The sequence below is a fragment of the Homo sapiens genome, chromosome 1, assembly GCF_000001405.40.
Source record: "Homo sapiens chromosome 1, GRCh38.p14 Primary Assembly".
NCBI lineage: Eukaryota > Metazoa > Chordata > Mammalia > Primates > Hominidae > Homo > Homo sapiens.
This window is the reverse complement of record NC_000001.11, coordinates 23,778,321-23,788,984: the sequence shown is the minus strand read 5'-3', so window position 1 is coordinate 23,788,984 and position 10,664 is coordinate 23,778,321. Positions and strand designations below refer to the sequence as shown.

The following is a 10,664-nucleotide window of genomic DNA, read 5'->3' as shown; positions in this document are numbered from 1 at the left end:
AATCACTTCCTTTTGTGCAAAATGAAATATAGGGTTTTGTTGTTGTTGTTTTGAGACAAGGTCTCACTCTGTTGCCTCAGGCTGGGGTGCAGTGGCGCAATCATGGCTTACTGTAGCCTCGACCTCCTGGGCTCCAGTGATCCTCCCACCTCAGCCTCCCAAGTGGCTGGGACTACAGGTGCACGCCACCATGCCCAGTTAATTTCTGTGAAATACAGGTTTTCAACCCCACCTTCTTCTTTACTATATATGGGTGTAGGAGTGTTTTTGGCCTACTGTACAAAATTAAGCTTGACCATTCCTGGAGAAACTGATCCAGTCTTGATTTTTTTTTTTTTTTTTTTTGAGACGGAGTCTCACTCTGTCACCCAGGCTGGAGTGCAGTGGTGCAATCTCAGGTCACTGCAAGCTCCGCTTCCCGGGTTCATGCCATTCTCCTGCCTCAGCCTCCTGAGTAGCTGGGACTACAGGCTCCCGCCACCGCACCCGGCTAATTTTTTGTATTTTTGGTAGAGACGGTTTCACCGTGGTCTCGATCTCCTGACCTCGTGATCCGCCCACCTCGGCCTCCCAAAGTGCTGGGATTACAGGCGTGAGCCACCGCGCCCGGCTCCAGTCTTGATTTAATTGTGGCACTTCCTATAATCTACCTAGTCCAAAACAACAACAAAAAATTTCAAAGTTCAGTACAGTTCCCCATGAAATGAAAGTTGCATCAGTGGCTATCAAGAACTCAAAAGAAAATACAAACATTAAGTCTGGCAAGGATTTATTAGGAAGCTTATTAGTCACAGTGAATAAAAGCCATGAAAAGAAGAACTCAAATCTCCAAATTCTGGCATCGGACTTACAACACTAGTTAGAAGCTAATAAACATTAAGGAATTTCCAAGGGGAATCTTAACTAAGTCTCAATCTTACTGACCAGATTACCCACACACATAGAAATGATCCCCATGCTCTCCCCAGACTGCTTAGCTAGGCAGTGGAAAAGACCTTCTCCCCAAGCTTAAGCTATCACGCATCAGCAGGAGACTCCTGTCCTTCTAGCTATAACCACAGGACACATGTGCGTGACAGACAACTCCAAGCTGGGCAACTTGACAAGAATGCTGAACAATGAGAGGGGAAAGGAGCAAGCAGGAACAAGTGTTTTAGTTGGAGACCCTCCTGATGGCTACTACTAACACAATCCGGAGGCATCAGAAAGTTTCCTATAGCCCACAAATAGTTTCCTTTAAAAAAACAAAAACAAAAACAAAAAAACAAGTCACACAACAATCTTGCCACAAAGCAACATGACACTTGGAATCACATGGCCACATTAACTGGAAAAGCAAGTGTTACCCATGACTGCCAGATGCCACCCAGCCCAAGACCCAATTTCCACAGCGCCCTAGAGAACCACGATGGTCCCCTGGCACCTACACAACCCTCCCAGTGGTGTCGTATCTTCCGTAGGCCAGGTTTCTGCAGCAAGCCCCAAAGACAAAGCTTGGCAGAGGCTGTGGCAGCCAACTCTCTCTGGAGCCTCATCCCTTTGTCCTTCCCAACAGGTAGTCGTACATCTTCACTGACACAGCGCCTCTATGGGAGCCTTGGCCAGCCCTTAGGAAATAAAGTGTGTCTGTGGGGTAACCTGATGGACCCTATGGTCTGCTGGGTTGGCAGATGCTTCGTAATTGCAGATGGTCACCTCGTGTCGGCGAAGCTGCAAGAAAATTGAGGCTGGGTCAGCCAGCCATTAAAAGAACTGTCCTTTCCCACACCACACACATTGCGGTAGTCCTTATTCAGGTTCATTTCTAGGAGTCATCATTTAATATCTCCTTATTTTAATACTTAGATGTCATCATCTAATATCTCCCAATTTTGATACTTTTTAACTCCAGAAAGCTGCAAAGATCATTATCATTGATTCACCCTGTAACTTTGAAGATTCAGTCTCCCTACTATAATGGGGGTACCATGAGAATAGGAACTTGTCTATGGTATTATCTTATCCCTGGTTCATGAATAGAAAAGATTATCAAAAATACTCAATGAAAGCATTTGAAAGTAGAAAACTGTGAATTAATATAAATGACAATTTCAGGCTGGGCAAGGTGGCTCACACCTGTAATCCCAACATTTTGGGAGGCTGAGATGGGCAGATCACCTGAGGTCAGGAGTTCGAGACCAGCCTGGCCAACATGGTGAAACCCTGTCTCTACTAAAAATACAAAAAAATTAGCCAGGCGTGGGAGTGGGCACCTGTAATCCCAGCTACTTGGGGGGCTGAGGCAGGAGAATCACTTGAACCTGGGAGGCGGAGGTCGCAGTGAGCTGAGATATATATATATATATTATATATATTATTTATATAAAAATAACAGTTTCAACCCCCTTAAAAATACCTGTAGTTTCTCAAATGAGACGAAAAGTTTATACTGATAAAACCAAGAAAAATAATAAACTGGGAGTAATTATGACACTTGCTCTTTTCCCTTCCCTGGAAGCTCCCATCACCACAGTGTGCAGATATGTAGACATGAGGGGAAAACCTTTCCAACCCCATCTTACCTCAGTCCACTCTCCTCTCAGGCCAATATAAAAGACCTTTGTCGTATCTGCTCCGAAGTTTTTTGAAATATGAATTGAGAGATGATAGACATTTGAAAAACGAGAAATTCTAGAGGATGACAGGAATAGGGAAAGAAGGTATGAATTATAGTTCAATGAGTATCTCACCACCATGTGAAACAACAATTCAGCTCCAGCTTGTAAAAGCCAGGCAAAGTCAGAGCTCCTGAGTTCTTCCTTCTCCTTTGGACAGGCAATTAATTCAATGACCATTTACTGAGCACCTGCCAGATCCTGTCCAAGGCAGTAGGGATAAACACTGCTCCTGCCCTCAAGGAACAGGAATGAGAAATGCTGCATAACCCAGCAGGGATTCTAAAGCACATTTAGTGTTAACCTAAACTAATGGGAGACACATCTTTCCTAAAACCACCCTAGGAGTTCATTCAGATCTGCCAATTGCTTGCAAGTTAACAAGTCTGTGGCTTGCACTGAATCTCTGCCAAAAACTGACCAAGCCAAAGATCAAGTCTCCTCCACTGTTTTAACTCATTTCCAATGCTAAGAGAGCAGGAGACTGGCCAAAAATAAATGGCAAGCCCTATAAGAAGCCATAGAGAATGGAAGACAGGCCCAGTGCTTACTTTGTAGCATACTCTAATTCTCCTGTAAGATCCCGGTTCAGACTAAAGGTCTGATCTGGCTCCCTTTCTGTATCATCAAAGGACATCTGTGGAATATTCTTGTACCTGAGAAAGGAAAGGAAAGAAAAGTCAAGAAATGTGCATTATCACGTTTCAGGTTTTCAAAATTTTCTACTGACTGCTTAAATGGCTTTGGTTCTATCAATAGGAGACTGAATTTGGGGGTCATATTTTAGAAATGACATTTTATACAAGTATCTCCAAATATCTTTTTTTTTTTTTTTTTTGAGACAGAGTCTCACTGTGTCACCCAGGCTGGAGTGCAATGGTACAATCTCAGCTCACTGCAACCTCCACCTCCCAGGTTCAAGTGACTCTCATGCCTCAGCCTCCTGAGTAGCTGGGACTACAGGCGTACGCCACCATGCCCGGCAAATTTTGGTACTTTTAGTAAAGACAGGGTTTCACCATGTTGGCAATGCTGGTCTCTAACTCCCAACCTCAGGTGATCCGCCTACGTCGGTCTCCGAAAGTGCTGGAATTACAGGCATGAGCCACCGCGTCTAGCCTACAAATATCTTTAATCCAACAAAAAAAGAGCTGAGATCTGCAACATAACCCCATGGCATCTTTGAGTGGGTTAATATCACATGAGAAGCAATACACAAAGAGACGGCTCAAACTAGGTCACATGCAGCAAATGCATGGAGAAAATAAACAACTCAGCACATTCAGACCAAACTGAGGATGTTATTAAATAAAACAGCTTACTCATGGGAAAAATACATACTTTGGCAGAAACATATTACACACAGTTAAGAGATAAAAGATCAGGTAACCCAATGCTCAAGCATTTTTTTGTGTCCAAAAACCACGCCATACACTCAGTCACCTTACAGTTCTTAAAACATTTATAACATGAGGATTTCCATTTTGAAAGATCACAAAAGACTGCAATCTCACATCCAAACCGCTAGAGAGGGTGCAATGAGCCAAGATCACGCCACTGTACTCCAGCCTGGGTGACAGAGAGACTCTGTCTCAGAATAAATAAAAAGTAAACTGCTAGAGAAGAAAATGTTTTTCAAAGAGTAATCTAAAAAGCAGCTGTCTCTATAACCCACAAATTCCCAAAGACTAAGCCACATGTCCCCACCAATTCCAGGGTGTTTTATTGACACACCCACACAGAAGAGGCCTCGATATTAGCTGGGGCAAAATGCATGTAATTTAAGAAAGCCGCCGGGCGCAGTGGCTCACACCTGTAATCCCAGCACTTTGGGAGGCCGAGGCGGGCAGATCATGAGGTCAGGAGATGGAGACCATCCTGGCTAACACGGTGAAACCCCGTCTCTACTAAAAATACAAAAAATTAGCCGGGCGTGGTGGCAGGCGCCTGTAGTCCCAGCTACTTGGGAGGCTGAGGCAGGAGAATGGCATGAACCTGGGAAGCGGAACTTGGAGTGAGCCGAGATGGCGCCACTGCACTCCAGCCTGGGCAACAGAGCGAGACTCCGTCTCAAAAAAAAAAAAAAAAAAAAAAAAGAAAGCAAATGTTTACTTCAAAGTGTTTCTAAGAATGATGCACCACAGAATAATAATAATAGTAAACATTTATGAGCGGCATAATGAGAAGCAGTATAGCGCTGTAGTTAAAATCTAGAGCTAGACTTTCTAGGATTCAAGCCTGGCTCTGTCACTTACCAGCTGAGTAAATTTGGGCACCTGATTTAACCTCTGTTTCCTCATCTGTAAAATGGGAATGGTAATAGTACATATTCCACACGGTTGGTATGGAGATGAAATTGAATCGATTCTAAGTAACGCATATATTGAAAAAACTTTACTATGGAAAAGTTCAAACTTACACAAAAGCAGAGATTACATAATGAATCTCCACATACTTTTCACTCATCTTCGATGATCAACATTTTGTTGATCTTGCCTATCAGCCTGATTTTGCTTAAGCTCAATATTTTAAAGCAATCCCAGACACATCATTTCACCTATAAATATTCCAGTATGGGCCAGGCGTGGTGGCTCACGCCTGTAATCCCAGCACTTTGGGAGGCGGAGGCAGGCGGATCACTTGAGGTCAGGAGTTCGAGAGCTGCCTGGTCAACATGGCGAAACCCTGTCTCTACTAAAAATAAAAAAAAAATTAGCCAGGCCTGGTGGTGTGTACCTGTAATCCCAGCTACTCAGGAGGCTGAAGCAAGAGAATCGCTTGACCCCAGGAGGCGGAGGTTGCAGTGAGCCAAGATTGGGCCACTGCACTCAAGCCTAGGCAACAGAGCAGAACGCCGTCTTAAAAAAACAAAAAATACACACACACACACACACACACACGTATATATACGCATATATATGTGTATATATGCGTATATATGTATATATACACATATATGTGTATATATATATGCGTATATATGTATATATACACATATATGTGTATATATATATGCGTATATATGTAGATATACATATATATATACACACATGTGCCTGTGATCCCAGCACTTCGGGAGGCTGAGGTGGGTGGATCACAAGGTCAGGAGATCGAGACCATCCTTGCTAACACAGTGAAACTCTATCTCTACTAAAAAATACAAAAAATTAGCCAGACATGGTGGCGGGCACCTGTAGTCCCCGCTACTCAGGAGGCTGAGATGGGAGAATGGCGTGAACCCAGGAGGCGGAGCTTGCAGTGAGCCGAGATCGCGCCACTGCACTCCAGCCTGGGCGACACAGTGAGACTCTGTCTCAAAAATAAAATAAAATAAAATAAAATACATATATTTAATACCATTTTACAATAATTGACAATATCAACAGATAACAAAATTAACAGCAATTCACTTTTTTAAATTTTTTTTTGGCTGGGTGCAGTGGCTAGCTCCTGTAATCTCAGCACACTGGGAGGCTGAGGTGGGCAGCCTGCTTGATCCCAGGAGTTCAAGACCAGCCTGGGCAACATAACAAAACCCCATCTCTGCAAAAAAATACATAAATTAGCTGGGCGTGGTGGCACACGTCTGTATTCCCAGCTGCTTGGGAGGCTGCGGTGGGAGGATTGCTTGAACTGAGGAGGTCGAGGCTGCAGTGAGCTATGATCACACTACTGCACTCCAGCCTAGGTGACAAAGTAAGGCCCTATCTCAAACTATATAAATAATTTTTTTTTAAGCCTTGCTCTGTTGCCCAGGCTGGGGTCCAGTATATGATCTTACGATCTTAATTCACCATAACCTTTAATTCCTAGGCTCAAGTGATCCTTTCGCCTCGGCCTCCCCAAAGTGCTGGGATTGAGGCATGAGCCACTGTGCCCAGCCCAGTGGTAATTCTTTTTTTTTTTTCTTTTGAGACAGAGTCTTGCACTGTCACACATGTTGGAGTGCAGTGGAGTAATCTTGGCTCACTGCAACCTCCGCCTCCCGGGTTCAAGTGATTCTCCTGCCTCAGCCTCCCGAATAGCTGGGATGACAGGCGACTGCCACCATGACTGGCTAATTCTTGTGTTTTTAGTAGAGACAGGGTTTCACCATGTTGGCCAGGCTGGTCTTGAACTCCTGACCTCAGGTAATCCGCCTGCCTCGGCTTCCCAAAGTGCTGGGATTATAGGTGTAAGCCACTGCGCCTGGCTGAATGGTAATTCTTTAGTAACATGTAACACCTCATCTGTGTTCAAACTTCCCTGATTTAATACTCTCAATCTAATTTTTCTGGATGTGTCAATGACATGTCATAGTTCAATAGCATTTTTTCTGTATTAATTGAATATAATGGTACATTTTACAATCAATGACATCTTACATTTGATAAAGTATAATATATGTAGTGTGCTTAGAACTGAGGGCTATGTATTCGTATCTGTTCACCCAAAATTGGACACTTACTGTGTTCCAGACCTAATCTAAGCTCTTTACATGTTTTATCTCATTTAAGCCTCTCCACAATCTTATGAGGTATGTATGCACTGTTACCATTCCCATGTTAGATATAGAAAATCCAGGCATAGAGAAGATAAGGTCTCAAAGTCATGAAGCTAACAAGTGGTACAGCCATTATTTGAACCCAGTTTACTCCAGATCCCACACTCTAAATCACAATGCAGCATGGATGCCTAATATTCTCAGGTCAGTCCATCAACTTCCAAGTAAATGAGTCTCCAAAAGCATCAAAGGTATTATTTCCTTAAAATGATTAAATACATGGATTTGCTTTCAAATTCATGTTTCTAATACTCAACTATAATATATCTTAAATCTCTGGAAGTCCTTTAATCAATTTTTCAGATGAATTTTTTTTTTTTTTTTTGAGACAGAGTCTCACTCTGTTGCCCAGGCTGGAATGCAGTGGTGCAATCTTGGCTCACTGCAACCTGCACCTCCGCGGTTCAAGTGATTCTCATGCTTCAGCTTCTCCAGTAGCTAGGATTACAGGCCTGTGCCACCGCACCCAGCTAATTTTTGTATTTTTAGTAGAGACAGGGTTTCGCCATGTTGACCAGGATGATCTTGAACTCCTGGCCTCAAGTGATCCGCCCGCCTCGGCCTCCCAAAGTGCTGGGATTTGAATTATTTTTTTCTTTTGAGATGGAGTCTTGCTCTGTCACCCAGACTGGAGTGCAGTGGCACGATCCTGGCTCACTGCAACCTCTGCCACCTGGGTTCAAGCGATTCTCCTGCCTCAGCCTCCCAAGTAGCTGGGATTACAGGCGTGTGCCACCATGCCCGGCTAATTTTTGTATTTTTAGTAGAGACGGGGTTTCAGCATCTTGGTCAGGCTGGTCTTGAACTCCTAACCAGTCTCGGCATCCCAAAGTGCTGGGATTACAGGTGTGAACCACCATGCTCGGCCTTTAGGATTTGAATTTTTTATTTATTTGTTTTTATTATTACTTTTGAGATGGGGTCTCATTCTGTCATCCAGGCTGGAGTGCAGTGGCGAGATCTCGGCTCGCTGCAACCTCCGCCTCCCAGGTTCAAGCAATTCTCCTGCCTCACCCTCCCTAGTAGCTGGGATTACAGGCACGCACCACCAGGCCCAGCTAATTTTTGTTTTTTTAGTAGAGACGGGGTTTTACCAGGTTGGCCAGGCTGGTCTCGAACCTCAGGTGATCCGCCCGCCTCAGCCTCCCAAAGTGCTGGGATTACAAGTGTAAGCCACTGTGCCCAGCCTATATATCATCTTTTATTGGTTTTGTGAGATAAGCTACTGCACCCGGACTGAATTTTTTAAATGTAAAGTTCTTCTTATATGTTTCTCCAGCACTCAGAAAGCAGTTTTCCCCTTCTTTTAGGAAGGCTGTTCTGGAATAAGGTAAGTTGTCAAAAAGGGTACTAGCTCTGGTGGCAAAAGATTCAGTGTTGCAAGAGGTATACACAACTTTGCTAACTAAATGCCACGCAAAGTCAGGTGGAGCAATTCCATGTCAACAAAACACATAAGATCATTACTGTATGAAATAGCAAGGAAAAATGTTGAAGCTAACCCCTAGAATCCATAAAGATCATATGAGATCTGCAGCTAGTTATTAAGAAAACTGCAGAGTCATCAACAAGTGACATTTACACAATGCTCTCTGAATGAATCATGTCATAGTAAGCACTTTGAAATATGAGACACGCTGTTGGGCCTAAAGATGCTTAATCTAAAAAAGTCATTAATTCAGGAAGAAATATATGTATTCCAATGCAGAATGAGAACAGGACCAAGATATTTTAAAAGGGGAAATATTAAACCCGGTAAGAAGAAAATGATACTATTCTGGAATAAAATGTTACCAGAAAAAGAGAATTAGGAGCTCCTTTGAGGGCCTAAGCCTTTGCCACTTACAGTCTCATCTCAGAGGGGTGTGAGTCATCATCCTCTCCCATTATAATGATGCCTTTGAGCTTGACATTGCCCGTAAATCTGCCAGAATGCAAAAGAGAAGGTTGTCAAACCTGAGTTTGAATACCTGTTTAGTTGTGTGACCCTGGGCAAGACCCTTCCCCTGTATGGGCTTCAGTTTACTCATCTGTCAACTTGTACTAGATAATTTCTAAGATCCTGTCTACCTCTAGCATTCTACAATTCTAAGAAATCTACCTCAATTTCTCAGTTATTGTTCTACAAATACATCTGTTTCCAGTCTGCACCAAGAAAGCTATGATGCTTTCCTCCTCAAACCCACCAAAGTAATTTATCCCATTTCTAGAAGCAAATGTGTGCTCTTGACACCAGTGAATGAATCCATCTGAGGCAACTGGGTACAGCCTATTTAGCCTGAGGTAGGCACCAAGGAGATACTTACGGAATATTAAACAGAAGCTCTTCATCTGCATCACTTTCAACAAACTGGAGGGGATGGGGAGGGGGGAGGAGAAAGCAACAAATATTTGCTGAGAGCCTACAATTTCAGGCATCTCCCACCCTGCTCTACAACTGGGGTGCAATGGGAAGAGTCACTCTCCCTTGGTTTTCCAAGACTTATTAACTTGAAGCTAACCAGTCTTATCCAGTGTCATAACAGCCACAGGCCACCCAACTGGAAGGTTCTTAACAAAAAGCCCATGAATGAATTTCCAGGGTCGAAGAGCCTTCTGAAGTGTGAACTGAAAGGCAGGTGTTTATGTGCATTTTTCTGAGAAGAAGGTCCACTGCTTTCAAACAGATAGCAAAGGGGCCTGCGACCCCACAATGTAAAGAACATTTGCTCTATATGGGAACCACCTTTCATCTCCCTAGGCTCATCTTCACCAGGTAATATGATGAGGCAGCCATTAGCACCAATGGTCCAACGGCCCTCACGACCATCCTCTCTAGCCCACACAGCCCTGGAATAGAGCGTTAGGCTGTGTAGCTTGACAAAACTGTCCCCGTTCCCTCTAGGCCTCAGTTTCCCTATATGCAAAATGGGGAGACAACGCTGCTCGCCTCCCAAAGAGCTGGCAGGAGACAGGCACGGAAAAGCGCTTGGCAACCAGGCTGTCGTTATTCTTAACATCAGAAATGAGTAGACCGACGGCCCGAGGCCCCACACGCACCCTGCCCCGCCCGCCCCAAGCCCCAGGCGGCCCACCTTGGAGCGGTCGGTCCGCTCCTCCCACGGCTTGAAGACGCCGCGGCCGCTGCCCTCGCGGCTCTCGTTAAGGCATTGCAGCCGCTCCAGGTCGATGCGCAGGTACAGGCCGTAGGCCAGGCCGCGCTGCTCGGGCGGCTCCTCCCGTTCGGCGGCGCAGCGGCAGCCACCCCCGCCGTGGCTGTGACCGTGCGACATGGCAACGCCGCCACCTGCGCGTCCTCTCGGCCCCACCGCCGCGCTCGCTCGGCTCGGCTCGCCTCAGACCAGCTCCGCGCCGTTCAGCTCCGGCAACTAAGCGCGCCGCGCCTGCCGCGTCGTAAAAAGCGCCGCTGCGCGGCGCATGCGCGTGGGGAGAAGGCGGGGGGGCGGGGGGGGTGGGGTCGAGCGGAA

At 45.1% G+C, this 10,664-nt stretch overlaps 1 protein-coding gene across 2 annotated transcripts, besides 3 other annotated features; it reads right to left on the bottom strand.

Annotated features, from left to right (window-relative positions):
• Positions 1-752: 752 nt before the first annotated feature.
• Positions 753-10,567, bottom strand: PITHD1 (PITH domain containing 1). 2 transcript variants are annotated; one of them, NM_020362.5, is made up of 6 exons: positions 10,272-10,567; positions 9,504-9,547; positions 9,044-9,121; positions 3,206-3,310; positions 2,562-2,670; positions 753-1,710 (listed from the first exon to the last, which is right to left on the bottom strand). In NM_020362.5, the coding sequence occupies exons 1-6, from the start codon at positions 10,467-10,469 to the stop codon at positions 1,609-1,611; spliced, it is 636 nt and encodes a 211-aa protein (NP_065095.2). In that variant the 5' UTR covers positions 10,470-10,567; the 3' UTR covers positions 753-1,608. The 2 variants fall into 2 exon arrangements, with proteins under 2 accessions (NP_065095.2, XP_011540106.1); XM_011541804.2 differs by lacking the exon at positions 9,504-9,547.
• Positions 8,438-9,637: an enhancer, noted in NCBI's record as "MED14-independent group 3 enhancer chr1:24105838-24107037 (GRCh37/hg19 assembly coordinates)". NCBI's record gives its function as "activates an origin of replication core promoter dependent on BRD2, BRD4, P300/CBP and CDK7 cofactors, and independent of MED14, by STARR-seq in HCT116 cells {active_cell/tissue: HCT116}" and the evidence as "EXISTENCE:reporter gene assay evidence [ECO:0000049][PMID:35650434]".
• Positions 10,188-10,237: a silencer, noted in NCBI's record as "silent region_422". NCBI's record gives its function as "represses an Ori minimal core promoter by ATAC-STARR-seq in GM12878 lymphoblastoid cells {active_cell/tissue: GM12878}" and the evidence as "EXISTENCE:reporter gene assay evidence [ECO:0000049][PMID:35858748]".
• Positions 10,328-10,637: a silencer, noted in NCBI's record as "silent region_421". NCBI's record gives its function as "represses an Ori minimal core promoter by ATAC-STARR-seq in GM12878 lymphoblastoid cells {active_cell/tissue: GM12878}" and the evidence as "EXISTENCE:reporter gene assay evidence [ECO:0000049][PMID:35858748]".

Excerpts from the sequence above, each read along its gene's own strand:
- PITHD1 (NM_020362.5), bottom strand. The coding sequence starts at position 10,469 with ATGTCGCACGGTCACAGCCACGGCGGGGGTGGCTGCCGCTGCGCCGCC. Across the intron at positions 9,122-9,503 it reads GAGCTTCTGTTTAATATTCC|ATTTACGGGCAATGTCAAGC; the intron begins GTAAGTATCTCC and ends GCATTCTGGCAG. Across the intron at positions 2,671-3,205 it reads GAATTAGAGTATGCTACAAA|AATTTCTCGTTTTTCAAATG; the intron begins GTAAGCACTGGG and ends GTCATCCTCTAG.